General features: G+C 43.9%; 1 long non-coding RNA gene across 1 annotated transcript in view, besides 1 other annotated feature; it reads left to right on the top strand.

The window, feature by feature from the left end:
• The window catches only part of EPHA1-AS1 (EPHA1 antisense RNA 1), a 115,637-nt gene that overhangs the window by 10,456 nt on the left and 87,261 nt on the right, over nucleotides 1–17,920 (top strand). The gene's annotated exons all lie outside the window — the stretch shown is intronic.
• Nucleotides 8,308–8,602: an enhancer, noted in NCBI's record as "tiled region #12322; K562 Activating DNase matched - State 5:Enh". NCBI's record gives its function as "activates a minimal TATA promoter and a strong SV40 promoter by Sharpr-MPRA in K562 cells {active_cell/tissue: K562}" and the evidence as "EXISTENCE:reporter gene assay evidence [ECO:0000049][PMID:27701403]".

Below are 17,920 nucleotides of genomic sequence, written 5' to 3' on the forward strand. Positions count from 1 at the left end.
ATAACAAAATGCATTCTTCAGATGGTGAGACACACTGGGAGAAAAATTAAAACAGGGTTAGGGGAATAGGAATCACATAAGGAGGGCTCTATTATACAGATATGGTAACTTTTGAGCAAAGAATTGAAGGAGGAAAAGAATGCGCTACAAAAGTCATCAGAGGGAAGAGCAATCCAGACCAAGGAAACAGCCCTAAAGTCCAGGGCAGGCATGCATGGGGTTCATGGAAGGACAGGGAGGCCAGAGCTTTAGGAGGGAGATGGTCATAGGGGTTGGATGGGGAGCAGCACACCTAAGGCCTCCCAGGCTATTTCACAGATTTTTGCTTTGACTTTGAGTGAGATGGAAGCCATTAGAGGGAGTCCAGTGAAAGGAGATGCATATTCTCTGACTTACCTTTGAAGAGATCAACCTGCCCAGCGTGCAGAACACAGATGGGGCAAGGCAGGGGAGGGCTGAGGGCAGAAGCATGGGTAGGTTAGGAGGCTGTTGTCTTGGTCTAAATAAGAGATGAGAGGGCTTGAAGCGGGGTTTCCAGGACTGTGCAGGGGCTGGGGAGAGTCAGCTGTGTGACAAATGTTTCAGGCCCACACAAGCATCAGCAGCTCGATGCCTGTACGAAATGGGAAAATGGCTTTTGTCCAAGGAATGGCGTGCAGGGTGGTGTGACTGGCTGAGTTGGGCTAAAGAGGGGGAACTGGGAGATGGGCTAAGGCTGGAGTCAGCCTCGGTGACCAACTACACTGAACTTTCTTTCTTTCTTTTTTTTTTTTTTTGAACTTTCTTCCCTATCTAACCTGGAACCAGTAAAATTTTGAATATGGGAGACACGTGCTCAGAGGAGCATTTTGGGCTCTGGTGGCTGAATGGGGGAAGAGCTGGAAGAGGCAGCGACTGGAATCAGAGAGATAATGATCCAGGGAAGAAACAGTAAGAGCTCAAACTTGGGCAATGAGTGGATAGAGGGAGGCGATGAGTGACATTTCACTTGTAGTATGACAGGGTATGTTGGCTGCTTAGATATAGAGGTGAGGGAAATTAACCAATAACCATATTCAGATTGGTAGTTATATTTTTGGTTCAAAAAAACCTTACCTCAGTGTGAAAGTAGGGGTGCTGGAAATAAATTTCTGACCTCTGGGAAAATGCTTTAGAGACAATGGTGACGAATTAGGATTTTGTTTGGCCGATGGGAGACTTTGAGTGATGGGGTTGGCAATGGAGACTGACAGGCAGGGAACCAGAAAAGCCTGGATGAGGATTGTTGAGAAAAGGTCAGGAAGCAGGCAGAGTCATTCAGATGCTCGGGAGGACAGCATTGGTTAAAAACGGCCAAGATACGGAAGGGGCATTTATGAAGATTTGCAGTGGGCTGTGGGATGGAATGCATCCTCCATCTCTGTCCCCCAGCAATGCCTTCTGTAAAAACGATATCATCATGTGGTGCTTTTGGATTTAGAGTCTTGATTTTCTTGGAAGGATGGGATACCAAAGACTAAGGACAGTTACCCATGACTAAGGCAGTCTTTTTGTTTTCCTCTGCTGCTTGTCACCTGGTAGAACAAAATGAATGAAAATTTTAGTTAAGTCCTGATATTTTTCTTTCCTTTCCTCTGTTTGATATGTTCTCTTCCTGCTGTCTGCTCTTCTAAATCCTCCTATTTTGCTCTATGTTTCTGCTCTGTGACATGAATTTCACTTTGTATCTCCTAATAGTCTAGCGGGATTAAAAATAAAAGTCACTTTCTGATGGTGCCTTTGCTCTCCAGTTCTCTCCAGCAGCACCGACACCTTCCGCCGTCCTCCCTGAAGGTCTGGCCTTCTGCCAAAAGGTTGTATTTGTTCAGAAGGTGCTCTGAAGTTCACTCAGTTCTTTACTCAGTTATTTACTGGTCTTTTATTTCCTCATGAGGATTTGTTCTGTTTTTCTTCATCACTCTTCTTTCAGCTTGAAATGCATCCCTCACTGCCTTTTTGCAACTTTCAGAACTAAAATACATAAATAAAACAAACAATAGGATAATAGAAAGATAGCCCCTTATTATCGTAATGTTACCTTTATCACCAAGTCTTTATGAAGCACCTAATTGTAAGTGGCTGGTGAGGACAGCAATGGACAAACATAACTACTTTAAGAAACTCTCATGGCACTTAAGGAGTTAAGAGTCTGTCACCAAGAACCATGGACACTCACATGCAATGGAAATGACAAAATGTCCCGATTTTCTTGGGTAAATCAAAGCCTTTTGGCTTTGATCCCTCAGCTTTTACTAGCCATGCAATCTTAGGCAATTCTGTTGATTTCGTTTGGCTTTGAGTGGGGATAATAAGATCTTATCTAAAGTCAAGGGCAGGACTACATAATCTCCCAAGTGCCCTTTAGCATTAAGATCTAAAATTTTGTGAATGCTATTGTATTAGTCTCTTTTCACGCTGCTGATAAAGACATACCCAAGACTGGGTAATTTACAAAAGAAAGAGGTTTATTGGACTTACAATTCCACGTGGCTGGGGAGGCCTCACAATCATGGCAGAAGGTGAAAGGCAAGAAGGAGCAGGTCACATCTTACATGGATGGCAGCAGGCACAGAGAGCTTGTGCAGGGAAACTCCCCCTTATAATACCATCAGATCTTGTGAGACTTATTTGCTATCATGAGAACACTATGGGAAAGACCTGCCCCCATGATTCAATTACCTCCCACTGGGTGTCTCCCACAACACGTGGAAATTCAAGATGAGATTTGGGTGGGGACACAGCCAAACCATATCAGCTATTTACTTGAAGTTCTCAGAAACAAAGTCACAATTGATCCAATATAATTTTTTTTTCTTTCTTTTTTTTTTGAGATGGAGTTTCACTCTTGTTGCCCAGGCTGGAGTGCAATGGCACAATCTTGGCTCACCACAACTTCTGCCTCCTGGGTTCAAGTGATTCTCCTGCCTCAGCCTCCTGAGTAGCTGGGATTACAGGCATGCACCACCACACCTGGCTAATTTTATATTTTTAGTAGAGACAGGGTTTCTCCATGTTGGTCAGGCTGGTCTCGAACTCCCGACCTCAGGTGATCCACCCGCTTTGGCCTCCCAAAGTGGTGGGATTACAGGCATGAGCCACTGAGCCTGGCCAGATCCAATATAATTTTAGAATTCTTACTCTGAAGAAGAGTTCAGAGATAAGAAGGCAATACTAAAATGAAGCCATATATAAGGCATAATACAGCCTTTAAGATGCACATTGCTGTGTGGAAAAGTTAGAACAGGGCCTTTATCTGCATGCCTCTCTAGGCGCCTCTGGGACAGAACATTGATAGCTGTTTTGCAGTTCTTATATGAACCAGCACCGTGTCAAGCCCTTCACATACATTGCCATTCAGTCTTATAAGAACTCATGTGGTTTGCTCATTTTGCTGATAAATAAACTGAAATCAAGGTTATTCAGCTAGGAATAGTCAAGGTGACCTTCAAACCCAGAAGTTCTGACACCAGAACTCACATTCAGTTGCTGCATTTAACTCTCATCACTCTGTGTAGACACAAGGAATCTTATTTATGCAAAGGCTTTGGTAGCAATGGCTAGGTTCTGAAGACTCTGGGGTTTAGATGGTGCACAAAGTAAAGAAGCATTAAAGAATGTTGCCTCATTGGATGCCTGGAAGGCAGGGAACTTGCATCCAGAGTTGGAGAGAATGCAGATGTGTGAACTAAAAATGGGACACAGGTCTTGCCATCCAGGAAGTTTTCTCAGGGTGTCTGCTTTCTGAGATACCCATTGAAAGTGTGTCATCTATGGGGAAAAAAAGATCTGTGTGATCCCTTAAAGACTTGACTACCTAAAGCTGATGGAAAGAGCACAGTTCTTAGAGGTAAGACCTCTCCTCTATGGCTGGGAGCTGCAGGAGGCTGGTGGCAGGTCATGGGCAGGCTGAGCAGCGGTGGAGATGGACAGCAACAGCAGGCAGCAGAGCTGCTGTGGGAGCAGAGTCCGGGACAGCTGTGCAGGGGCTGGATGCCCATGAGAGGGCTAGGTCTGGAGACCCACAGACCAAGCTGGCAGGGCGCACAGGGCCTAGTGCCATTGCAATGTGTCATTTGTCCCCCAGGCTGGGGGGACCTGGGGAAATGACTGTACAAATTCATCTTTTATGTATAAAACCTCTTCCTCCAAACTGGGCTTGAGAAATGTGCTGGTCTGTTGCTGTAGCTGCCTTACCAAAAGGTGAGTTCTAATTTTTCTGTTATACTTGATATTGACAATGAGCCCCATGAGCTTCTGTAAGGGGGTGTTTTTTGCTGACCATACCCGAGATGGCTATGATGTAGTCACATAGGATGAGGTGCCTCCTTCTTCCTCAGAGTGCATCAAGCCCTCCACCTTACAGTGATGACAGGAGACCCAGGAGTTCACTCTAACCCTCATCTGGTACTCCCACCCCCATCCTGTTATGTCTCTGGGTCTCCTAATGCTTATTAGAGTCTAGGTCTGGAAGAGGGTGGGAGCCCAGTTTGACGGCTGCAAAGTAATTGCCTTAAAACCCAAAAGCTGGGTGAAGCTTCATGCCTCCTTTACGGCTAATGATGACAATGCATGCTGCTCACTGGCCTGGCTAACCTCAGCACTGGACTACTCTCTTTCCCCAAGGTCATACTCAGTGGAGGGCGCCACGTGGACTAGGCTGGGTTTTAAGTCAAAGTGCAGTGTGCAGAAGGATGCAGGGGTCTGATATGGCTGCCCAGGGTTGTGGGGCATCAGGGTGCTGTGGGCTGGGCTCAGCTCAGAGAGGCTCAAGAATGCCAAACTCCGTGAGCTCCCTCCAGTAACCAGGAGATGCTGAGACCAGCATCTCCTGGTGGACACTATGCCAAGAGCCTGTTTCTATAGAAAGCTACTCTGCAGTGGAAGTGTTTCCGTCACCCAGGAATACTGGGTGACAACCACGAAAGCTTGTGTGTCCAGAATTGTTGGGTTCTTGGTCTCCCTGACTTCAAGAATGAAGCTGCGGACCCTCACGGTGAGTGTTACAGCTCTTAAGGTAGCGCGTCTGGAGTTTGTTCCTTCTGATGTTCGGATGTGTTGAGAGTTTCTTCTTTCTGGTGGGTTCGTGGTCTCGCGGGTTTCAGGAGTGAAGCTGCAGACGTTCGCGGTGCGTGTTATAGCTCTTAAGGCAGCACGTCTGGAGTTGTTCGTTCTTCCCAGTGGGCTCGTGGTCTCGTTGGCTTCAGGAATGAAGCTGCAGACTTTCGCGGTGAGTGTTACAGCTCATAAAAGCAGTGTGGACCCAAAGAGTGAGCAGCAGCAAGATTTATTGCAAGAAGCGAAAGAACAAAGCTCCCACATTGTGAAAGGGGACCCCAGCGGGTTGCCACTGCTGGCTCCGGCAGCCTGCTTTTATTCTCTTATCTGGCCCCACCCACATTCTGCTGATTGGTAGAGCCAAGTGGTCTGTTTTGACAGGGTGCTGATTGGTGCGTTTACAATCCCTGAGCTAGATATAAAGGTTCTCCACGTCCCCATCAGATTAGTTAGATACAGAGTATCCACACAAAGGTTTTCCAAGGCCCCACCAAAGCGGCTAGATACAGAGTGTCGATTGGTGCATTCACAAACCTTGAGCTAAACACAGGGTGCTGATTGGTGTGTTTACAAACCTTGAGCTAGATACAGAGTGCTGATTGGTGTGTTTACAATCCTTGAGCTAGACACAAAGTTCTCCAAGGCCCCACCAGAGCAGCTAGATACAGAGTGTTGATTGGTGTATTTACAATCCCTGAGCTAGACATAAAGGTTCTCCAAGGCCCCACCAGAGCAGCTAGATACAGAGTGTTGATTGGTGCACTCACAAACCCTGAGCTAGACACAGGGTGCTGATTGGTGTGTTTGCAATCCCTAAGCTAGACATAAACGTTCTCCAAGGCCCCACCAGAGCAGCTAGATACAGAGTGTCCATTGGTGCACTCACAAACCCTGAGCTAGACACAGGGTGCTGATTGGTGTGTTTACAATCCCTGAGCTAGACATAAAGACTCTCCACGTCCCCACCAGACTCAGGAGCCCAGCTGGCTTCACCCAGTGGATCCCGCACCAGGGCTGTAGGTGGAGCTGCCTGCCAGTTCCGCGCCATGCGCTCGCACTCCTCAGCCCTTGGGCGGTCGATGGGACTGGGCACCCTGGAGCAGGGGGCGGCATTCGTCGGGGAGGCTTGGGCTGCACAGGAACCCACGGAGGCGGGGGAAGGCTCAGGCATGGTGGGCTGCAGTCCCGAGGCCTGCCCCGCGGGAAGGCAGCTAAGGCCCGGCGAGAAATCGAGCACAGCGCCGGTGGGCTGGCACTGCTGGGGGACCCCGTACACGCTCTGCAGCCGCTGGCGCGGGTGCTAAGCCCCTCACTGCCTGGGGCCGGCAGGGCCGGCCGGCCGCTCCGAGTGCGGGGCCCGCCAAGCCCACGCCCACCCGGAACTCCAGCTGGCCCGCAAGCGCTGCGCACAGCCCCGGTTCCCACTCGCGCCTCTCCCTCCACACCTCCCTGCAAGCTAAGGGAGCCGGCTCTGGCCTTGGCCAGCCCAGAAGGGGGCTCCCACAGTGCAGCGGCGGGCCGAAGGGCTCAAGTGCCACCAAAGTGGGAACCCAGGCAGAGGAGGCGCCGAAAGCAAGCGAGGGCTCTGAGGACTGCCAGCATGCTGTCACCTGTCACTTGGGCACAGCTTTTTTTCCTGGCAATTCTTTTCAACATTTCTGTTTTACCAGTATTTTTTTCAATTATGTAATGAATACCTGCATATGTTCTCTTTGTACACATTCCAGCATTACATATAAAGCAGAAATGCACCTTGACTACCATTCCTGATTCAGTCCCCTGGGTATCAGTTTATTTTTAAACTTTCAGACTTTCCCCCATGCTTTTTCTTTCTCTCTCTCTCTCTATAATTACACGTAGCATGTTTTTATATGTATAGATTTTTATATAGTTGATATCAGCTGTACACGCTATATACATTTTTCTGAAACAACTTTCTTCACTCAGCTGTCTTGGAGCTTTCTCCATATCTAGATTTAGCTAATCCTTGTAACTGTGGCGGGGTATTCCACAGTATAATATATCATATTTTATGTAATTAAACATAATGTGTCTGGGCTGGGTGTGGTGGCTCACACCTGTAATCCTAGCACTTTGGGAGGCGGAGGTGGGTGGATGGTTTGAGGTCAGGAGTTCGAGACCAGCCTGGCCAACATGGCGAAACCCGATCTCTACTAAAAATACAAAAAATAGCCGGGCATGGTGGTGGGCACCTGTAGTCCCAGCTACTCAGGAGGTGGAGGCTTGAGAATTGCTTGAACCTGGGAGGCAGAGGTTGCAGTGAGCCGAGACGGTGCCACTGCACTCTAGCCTGGGTGACAAAGCAAGACTCCATCTCAAAAAAAAAAAAAGATACTGTGTCTGGACCAATGCCTCCTTTTACAAAAATATTGGGGGAATGACCCCCATAATATGGTGAACTGAAATTCATAAACTATATTAATTTACCTAAAATGATTAAAAATCAATATGATGTCCTAATTGAATATAAGAATATAAAGGAAAGCAATTTATAATAAAAATAATTTGCATTTTGATATATAAATCATTCACATTTGATAGGTATGTGGTACACTGTAGTAGATAACATAATGACATAGACAGGTGCTTGCCCCTATATGGAGACACAAGGGAATGTGACAGATCCAAATCCAGACAGATTTAGGTGTGTTTTGTTACTGATTTAAATAATGTGTGTGATGTTGCCATCAACTTCATGATTTTTCTGAGATGATAAATAACTCATGGTAAAGATTCAAATTAAACAAAATTCCAGAGTCTTTCAATTTATTTGATGGTTTCATTTTTAGAAAAGTCACTGTATATTAAAAGTGTGCAAAAATTACTTTATATATAGTGTAGTTAAATTCTTGGCTCAGATGTTTTTCGCCCACATGAATGCCTGGCAGGACACCCAAAGTCCTTGCTGGATGGGGGAAAATTCTTCATTTTTTGGGGTCCATCCTGGCTGAAACCAATAAATGTCAATAGTAATCCCGAAGACGGTGACCACCAAAAACACTCACATAAATTTCCTAAGTACCTTTTAGAGGGGGGCACTATTCACATTAAGAACCAATGATTTAATGATAATGCTTATGCTTTCTCCCCCCTCTAGATGTTTTCACAAGGAGCACTTTTCTCTAAGCCTTTTTGTGCGCATGTTGCAACAATTCCTCAGGGAAGAATATTGTTTCAACTTAGGTGCTCTCACTAGGTGGGGGCATGAAGTGTGACTTCTCCAGAGGATGGCTGTTTCATTTTCTGTTTCTCTTCTCTATGTGACCTCCAGACCTGGGTTGGAGCAAATTCCAGTTCACTCAGAAAACCCAGAGCTATGACCTTTCTTTTATCTATGGGAATCCAGCCTTCCTTAGGGGAGGTAACCCTTACTGGGCCTTCTCAGAACAGTGTTTCACTCATGATTTCAAAGAGCTCACCCTACTCTTCCAAGAAGGCCCTCCTCAGCTAGTCTGACTTGTTTGTAAACTAAACACATTGTGAGGTTTAATCTCTGGTAAGACAGCCCTTTGGTGGGGATGCCACCACTTAGACAAAGATCAGATTCAGAATAAGAACAAAATAAGCAGAAGCTATTATTATTAGATTCATTGATTAGCAAGGTATCTTAATTTAAAATTGTCAGTAGCTTGAAGGCATTTCTTGAAGAGATGGTAAAGTTGGACTTCGTCCCAGAGAGACTGATGAAAAGGAAAGAGGTAAGTACTGAGAAAGAGAGAGAAAGTCAGAATCCTGGAATCTTAGGCTGGCAGGAACTTTGAAGATATCTAGTTTAAGGTCTTTGATGCCCATTGCAGGATTCAAAATATTAAGACGATGCTGTTATGAGATTTGAGATATGTTTGTTAGTAAGAAATAAAAATACCTCCTTCTTTATTTATTATTTTTATTTTTATTTGAGATGGAATCTTGCTCTGTCACTTAGGCTGGAGTGCAGTGGCGCGATCTCAGCTCATGCAACCTCTTCTTAAAGGGTTCAAGCGATTCTTCTCAGTCTCCCGAGTAGTTGGGACTCGAGGCATACACCGCCATGCCTGGCTAATTTTTTATTTTTATTTTTTTATTTTTAGTAAGGTCAGCGTTTTGCCACGTTGGCCAGGCTGGCCTCGAACTCCTCCTGACTTCAAGTTATCCCCCAGCCTTGGCCTCCCAAAGTGCTGGGATTACAGGCGTGAGCCACCGCGCCCGGGCCCTCTTTTTTTTTTTTATTATTTTTATTATTTATTTATTTATTTATTTATTTATTTATTTATTTATTTATTTATTTTTTGAGGCGGATTCTCACTCTGTTATCCAGGCTGGAGTGCAGTGGCGCAATCTCGGCTCGCTGGAACCTTCGCCTCCTGGGTTCAAGTGATTCTCCAGCCTCAGCCTCCCGAGTAGCTGGGATTACAAGCACATGCCACCACGCCTGGCTACCTTTTTCTTTTTTTTTTGAGACGAAGTCTCGCTCTCTCGCCCAGGCTGGAGTGCAGTGGCGCGACCTTGGCTCACTGCAAGCTCCGCCTGCCGGGTTCACGCCATTCTCCTACCTCAGCCTCCCGAGTAGCTGGGACTACAAGCGCCCGCCACCGCGCCCGGCTAATTTTTTGTATTTTTATTAGAGACGGGGTTTCACCGTGGTCTCGATCTCCTGACCTCGTGATCCGCCCGCCTCAGCCTCCCAAAGTGCTGGGATTACAGGCATGAGCCACCGCGCCCGGTTCCTGGCTACTTTTTGTATTTTTAGTAGAGATAGGGTTTCACCACGTTGGCCAGGTCTTGAACTCCTGACCTCAGGTGATCCACCCGCCTCGGCCTCCCAAAGGGCTGGGATTGCAGACATGAGCCACCGTGCCTGGCTACACACATATCTTTATATACCTTGCCTTATCAAATGTTCCTGACGTTGCCAAGTACTTCATATTACATTTGTACACATCAAATTTGAAAAAGAGGGAGCGATTTATCCTAGGTTACATATTGAGAAAGTGACAAAAGTATAACTGAAGCCCAATTCTTCTGAATCTAAATTATATGCACTTTGTAACAGACCAATGCTAAATTAATTTAAAATGGTAGAATGTCATGATAAATATTTTATTTTTATAACTTTCCTTGGAATGTCACCCTATTTTCTGATTCTTTTTACTTATTTATTTTATTTTATTTTTTATTTTTATTTTTTTTGAGACGGAATCTCACTCTGTCGCCCAGGGTGGAGTGCAGTGGCGCCATCTCAGCTCACTGCAAACTCTGCCTCCTGGGTTTGCGCCATTCTCCTGCCTCAGCCTCCCAAGTAGCTGGGACTACAGGCGCCCGCCACCGCACCCGGCTAATTTTTTGTATTTTCAGTAGAGACAAGGTTTCACCGTGGTAGCCAGGATGGTTTCAATCTCCTGACATCGTGATCCGCCCGCCTCGGCCTCCCAAAGTGCTGGGATTACAGGCGTGAGCCACCGCGCCCGGCCTCTGATTCTTTTTAATATTTGCCTGCATGGGCGTATTTACTCATTGTCACCTGGTGATATAAATATGAAATATTATGGGAAAAAGGAGAAACAGGGAAGGTGAGAAAACACTTGTTAGTTATTCAAAACAGCAATCTTGGTTTTGAAGTTTGAAGTTTAATCACTGAGAAATGGCACAGAAATAAAGCTGGTTTCTTTGGGTTCCATCAGGCAATGTGAAATATCGTGAAGCGAGGTGGTATCACGGAGTTCCATCCGGGGCAAATGTAGAATGGCAGCAGCTTCACTACATTTTTCTGAGAAAAACAGAGGCATAGACAGTGCATCTCATAAAAAAGAGCAAAACCTGGAGTGCTTACGACATCCTTAAACAGGATTACAGGAAAAAATGATGGATGTGAATGTGTTTAGCACAATGTCAGCTTCATATTAGATTTTTAATTAATGTTGGTTTAATTTGAGGTTGTATCTCTCTTCTGGAACTACTTAATATCTTGTGGTTTTTTTTTTTTTTTTTTTTTTCCTTCCTTCCTTCCTTCCTTCCTTCCTTCCTTCCTTCCTTCCTTCCTTCCTTCCTTCCCTCCCTCCCTCCCTCCCTCCCTCCCTCTTTCTTTTCTTTTCTTTTCCTTTTTTTTGGAGACAGAGCCTTGCTCTGTTGTTCAGGCTGGAGTGCAATGGTGCAATCTCTGCTCACTGCAACCTCCACCTCCTGAGTTCCAGCAATTCTCCTGCCTTAGCCTCCCAAGTAGCTGGGATTACAGGCGCCTGCCACCACACCCGGCTAATTTTTTTTGTATTTTTAGTAGAGACGGGGTTTCACCATGTTGGCCAGGGTGGTCTCGAACTCCTGACCTCAGGTGATCCACCCGCCTCACCTCCCAAACTTCTGGGATTACAGGCTTGAGTCACCGTGCTTGGCCTTGTGATTTTTTAAAATACATTTTTTTCTTACTTTTGTTCCCATTATCTGATGGAGGAAAAAAATGAACAAATCTATCAACCAACTTACCTGGGAGCCTGGTGCTCATTTCCTATTGGTTCCACATTCACTCCCTAGTCCTCCTGCAACCACTCTGAAATCCCTTCCTAGTTTTACCCAGCTGGAAATGCCACCACTTTAGCCATACTGAAGTTCTTCTACATTCTTCATTTCTGCATGTGCAGGCAAGTAAAATGATAGGGATTTCTGTGGGCGTTGTCAGGAGCTGAAAGATTGGGAATGCTTTTGAAAACTCCTTCTCCATTGAGTTTAAGAGGAAACGGGTGAGTTTTCCCATTATTTCGGTAGGATAGCAGATGCCTCTTCATTTACCCCTTTATTTTACCCTCCCATGCCCAGTTCTGTCCTACCACTAAGAGTGAGTACGTCGGTTGCCGCATTCTGGCCTTGTCCTAAGAAGTGTTTCACAATCTAACACCACCAATACTCCCCTCACCCCCGGTGCCTTAAGTAAGGAAGGACTGGGCTGCTGAGTGGCAGGTGGGGGCTGTCTGAGGATGGGAGGGGGAAATAAGATGGAACGGGGTGGACAGAAAAAAAATCAGGAGAAAAATTATTATTTGAGAAATGGAAATCTTGGATTAGGATTTTTTTTGCAAGATGATTAAGCCATTTTAGAAACATGACTCATATTGTCTTCTGCCCTTTCTTCCTCTAAGTAATTATGAAGAACACATACTTGGAAGATTTTAATAAAATTATGAGTAATATTAGATCACTTTAATTCCTGTTTACGGAGGACAGCAGTCAAGTACCTAACTGTGAGAGGAAAATGAATCTTTGCTTCTAGGAGGCACCATGATTTACGAAAACCAAAGAGGGCCAATTTGACTGTTTTTACTTGTACCCCTCTCCTTCTTGACTTTTCTCATTTTTTCTTAAGATTTTGTCAAAGTGATATATGCATCTAGACCAAAGAGCCAGGTATTTCTGCTTAAAGGGACATTTCTTTGTTTGTTTTTTTAAAAATAGAGGCTTTCGTTTCCATCCTCTTCCAATTCCTGTTTCCCAAGGCAACTACTTTCAACTCTTTTACCTGGTGTGTGTGTGTGTGTGTGTGTGTGTGTGTGTATGTGTGTGTGCATGTGCACGTGTATGTGCATGTGTGTGTGTGTGTGTGTGCTTTCCGCTATGGAATATGAACCTTTAGTTCTTCCTCACCCTCATTCCCCTGGCAAACACCTTCTGTCTCCCACTTTTCAATATAGTTTTATTGTAATGGTAAAATCAATATTTAGTGTTTAAAATATTATGCCAATGCAAATGCTATTCATGGTGAAACCATGTATTAAACTGCAATTAATTTTTCTTTCCTGTACACATTTTTGTTTCCATTGATTTAACAATTACCTTGTTTTGTTTGCTTTTTGTTCTCAATTCCATCATCAAGTATCCTCAAATTTTATTTGCCTGAGAAAATTTCTCCTGGGGCTTCATATCCTGCTCCAGTCTGGACTTATGCTCAGGCCTGATGTACCTCCCTCCATCCTGGGTCTGCCTTTACAGTCCTCCTGGTGGCCTCCTCCGCCTGTCTCTCACCTTTCACCTCATGTTGCCTGGACTCATGTCTTCCTTTATCATGCCTACTCTCCCGCTTTGGAGGGACACATTTTCCAGTATCCTCCAGAAAAAGAGAACATAAAAAATTAACTTTATTTGGAGACTTTGCTTGCCTGAAAAGCCTTTATTTTGTCCTTGTACTTGAGTATCCAGATAGAGAATTCCAAGGTAGAGATAATTTTCCTTCTGTATATTGAAGACATTGCTCTGTTGCCTTCTAGCTTCCAAAATTACTATGGAAAAGTCTAAAATAAAATTCCTAATATTATATTTTGAATTTAGTATTTTTCCTCTCCTTTTCCTCTCTAAAAGCTTGTAGGAACTTCTCTTTGTGCTCAGTTTTCTAAAAGTGTATGAAATGAGACAGATACTTGGTGAGTCTTTCTAATATGAAGAGTCGCGTCCTTTAGCTTTGGGAACTTTGCATCTATTTTGTTGATTTTTTTCCCACCATTTATGACATCTCTCTGTTTAGAACTCCTATTTCTTGGTTATTAGACATCCCAGATTGGCATTCTGTTTTGTTTTTAACCTATGGGTTTATTTGCTCTCTTTTCTGAGATATTTAATAAATTTTAGCTTTCAGCTCTTCTATTGACATTTAATCTCAGATATTGTCATTTTAATTCCAAGAACTTTCTTTTAAAAAATTTTGAGTATTTCTTTTAAACAGTAACCTGTTGTTTTGTATGTTATTATTATATTCTCATAACTCTGAGAATACTGATATCATTTTGGCAAAGCTTTCTTCTCCTTGCATTGTTTTCTTCCTCCAAATACCTGTTTTGTTTTGGTCTTATTTTCCATGCTAGGTGCCATTCTCAGATGTCCCAAGCTCCTCGTTGTCTGCTCCTGTGCAAAAGAGATGGAAAGGCTGATTGGAAACTCTGAACTCATGAATGGGACTTGTTAATTATGGGCTTCACTGTAAAGTGATTGGCTGGACTAATTATTTGAGGAATATCTGATATTGTCTTTATGTCTTCCTTTTAGAATGTTTGAGTTCTTGGAAAAGACGATACTCATCTGCCTGTAGGGTAAAAGCCTGGGTTCCGGAGTTCTAAAAACCATGTGAGAGGAGAGCATTTGCTCACCTAATGTCCCTGTCTCAGTATAGTACCCTTGTCTCAACTGTGCTATAGATACATCCAGCTCAGTGATCCCATTTTATCCTTTCCAGACAATACTAGGGTGAGAGAGTGGTGGTTGCCCAGGTATACAAAGTGATTTGGGAATCTGAATCTTAAACTGACTTTTAACTAGTTTTTCTCTAGAGGAACCTGGTATGGCAAATCTTGGGTAAAAGTCGGTTCATTCTTGACTTTTCCTTCTGCTTGGATAGAATTCTGTTTTCTTAGGGCTGTTGTATCTTTGATCACTCTTCTATCTATTTTATTTGGATTTATGCCTTAATTTCAATTTTTTTTTTTTTTTTTTTTTTTTTTTTTTTTTTTGAGATGGAGTCTCTCTGTAGGCCAGGCTGGAATGCAGTGGCGTGATCTCGGCTCACTGCAACCTCCACCTCCCGGGTTCCGGTTCAAGCAATTCTCCTGCCTCAGCCTCCCGAGTAGCTAGGATTACAGGCACATGCCATCATGCCCAGCTGATTTTTTTTTGTATTTTTAGTAGAGACGGGATTTCACTATGTTGGCCAGGCTGGTCTTGAACACCTGACCTTGTGATCTGCCCGCCTTGCCCTCCCAAAGTGTTGGGATTACAGGGGTGAGCCACTGCACTTGGCCTCAAAAATCTTTCACAGTTAATTTAGAAGAGTTTTGGGGAGCAAAGGAAAGAAGGTGGGTTGATGCAATCTGTCCTTACCCCTCTTGTTGACTTTGGATCTATCTATGGTAGCGGTTTAAAATTTGTTTCTTGCAATGGAGTTCTTTCTTTGAAATAGTATGTAGAAGCTCAGTATATAAAATACATATAAGCAGGACTGCTGTGTTTGAAAAGGAAATGAGGGTTTATGGTTCTACTTTCTCAGTTCTCCTCTTACCCTTTCCCTACCATGAGAACTCCCTGGAAAGCATAATTTGTAAACCACTGATTTAGAAATTATCGAACATAACTTATCCCTCCAGTAGATGTTAGACATTGAGTGAAGTTCATGGCATTATGGGAAGAACGTTTGATTTATTCCTTTAGAGATTAATTTTATTGCTTCTAAATGCTCGAATGGAGCAAGGCAAAGAGAAAGATTCATTCTAAAGATCTTTTAGTTGAAATAGAATTGGACTCAACTTCCTTGCAGGCTAACTTTATAATTACAAAAATAACTATCAAATGCTATTTTTTATTTGAGAGGAAAGTCTGTAGATTTACCTGAATATTAAACGATATTCAACTGTACATTCACATTTTGATAATGGAAGATGTTAGAAATTCCCAAATTTACTTTCAGAAAGCTAAAATTCTCTATTATGCCGGATTGCTATTACAGCCAATGTTTATTCTAAATTACTTACTTAAATATAAGAGTCAGAGGAAGTCTTCAGGGTGAGAAAAAATATTTAGGGCTTATCTTGCAGGGAAATCATTATTAAATTTGTGCATAGTTTAGCTTAACATTTATGTGCAGTCTAGCCATTAAAAACATTGTTATTTCCTTTTTCCTCCACCTTTCCCTGGAGTGGGCCATCAGTTACCCGATAAAGCCATGGAAATACGTGGAAGTATTTATGCAATGCACGTCACTCAAAGGTTCAGTTGGGAATGGGCACCAAGATTGAGAAACCTGTCAAATGAAATGTATTTTTGTATGTCTCTAAGATGAACCAAGAATTCATTCTCTAAGAATTCAAGAATGTATTCTTGAATGTGATAAGAAAAAGAAAATAAAAACAAAAAACAAACGAATCAACAGAAACCAAAAAGCACTTTACTGGTGTAGAGGACTAACGTGAGGGAAGTGCCAGTAGCTCTTTGCAGAATCTTCCATTTTAATCCAGTCTTCTGCTGTTACCTGTTTACCATTACTACCATTTCACAGAAGACTCAGACTTCATCCTAAAAAACTATCTCCAGTCATGCTGCAGAAAATAATTCGTTAGCTTCAGCTGCAGGAATGAGACACCTTTAAAAAAGAGAAATGTGACCCAAACTTTTGTGAGAAACACCTTGTATTTTGATTGCTATTTCACATTCGAAGGACTCTTGAAAAACAGAAAAAACCTAAAACATCATCTTGCTTATGGTATCTTTTGGTGGCAGACTATGAATGGGACATGGGACCCCCATAAGATATATCTAGTGAAGCACTGAGAGATGGATAAACAGGTGCCTGCGGGAAAGGTACTCTTTCAGCCTTCTTATAGAAGAGTATTGAAACAGGAGAAAATGTTTACTTTCTAGAGCTATCAACTGTAGAAAGGAAAAGTCCTGGGGAAGACTTGTTCTGGCAAAGTGCACGCTTTGGCACCTCTGCAGAGAACATGAAGTTTGCCCGCAAACATTAGATGTCTACTTGGTTACACGTGACCGCAACAGGGCGTGTGTACCATGGCCTCAGCTCGCTTCTTGATGACATCATGAATCTGGGCTCCGGCCAAAGGATTTTGAGACGAGCCAAAATGCTGTGGAGCATGCAGAAGCCACTCATTGCTGTTGTCTTCAAGAAGCCAGAGGAAGACATGCAAAGAATTAAAGAAAGACGCTGAAGCTGTGTTACAAAACAGTTGATCAGGTTGAATTATCCGCTCTCTAACAATCTTTTGAGAGTTCAATAAAAACTAGCAGCTCTTCAATTAGCCGGGCGTGGTGGCGGGCGCCTGTAGTCCCAGCTACTCCGGAGGCTGAGGCAGGAGAATGGCGTGAACCCGGGAGGTGGAGCTTGCAGTGAGCCAAGATCAAACCACTGCACTCCAGCCTGGGCGACAGAGCGAGACTCCGTCTCAAAACAAACAAACAAACAAACAAACAAGCAGCTCTTCAAGCAATTGCTATATTCGAGAGCTGAACCTCTTTTTCTTGAAGTCGCCACCACAAGTGTTTGTCCTTGTTTTTATTTCTCTTTAATCTTTCACACACAGGCCTCTCTCACCTGTAGAATCTTGAGTGAGACCATGGGAAGTAGGCAAGGCTATTTTCTGTGACTCATCTTGGTGGAGAGCCCTGACTCCAAGATCTGAGACATTTGCCAGGGGATTCCCTTCCCTGTTTTTCTATCCACACCTCTGCTTTCTTCTACCCTCCTTCTCTCTCTTCCCTCTTAACCCTTTTGTTTTTACTTTTTCCACATTCATAGGCATTCTTTCCTCAGTTGAACCTGTCCTCATGGCTCCCTGAGCCTGGGTTGGCTGATCTGAACCAGTGTCATTTTGTGTGGTTGGCGGTAAAGGCCAAATGTAAGATGTGTGAAATCACTTTAAAAATGACAAGGTGGGGCCCTATGCAGTGGCTCACACCTGTAATCCAAGCACTTTGGGAGGCCAAGGCGGGCAGATCACAAGGTCAAGAGATCAAGATCATCCTGGCCAACATGATGAAACCCCTTCTCTACTAAAAATCCAAAAATTAGCGGGGCATGGTGGCACATGCCTGTAGTCCCAGCTACTTGGGAGGCTGAGGCAGGAGAGTTGCTTGAACCCGGGAGGCAGAGGTTGCAGTGAGCCGAGATCACATCACCGCACTCCAGCCTGGCGACAGAGTGAGACTGTCAAAAAAAAAAAAAAAAAAAAAGACAAGGTGTTTCAGCAGGGTGGTTTTTACTATTATATATTCAGTATTGTTATAGGACAGGGCTCACTCCACATAAAGCAAAACTTCCCTGTGGCCCAGCTTTGCCCTGAGCTCCTCTTGTCATTCCACCAACTCT

The sequence above is a fragment of the Homo sapiens genome, chromosome 7 (assembly GCF_000001405.40).
Source record: "Homo sapiens chromosome 7, GRCh38.p14 Primary Assembly".
Lineage (NCBI taxonomy): Eukaryota > Metazoa > Chordata > Mammalia > Primates > Hominidae > Homo > Homo sapiens.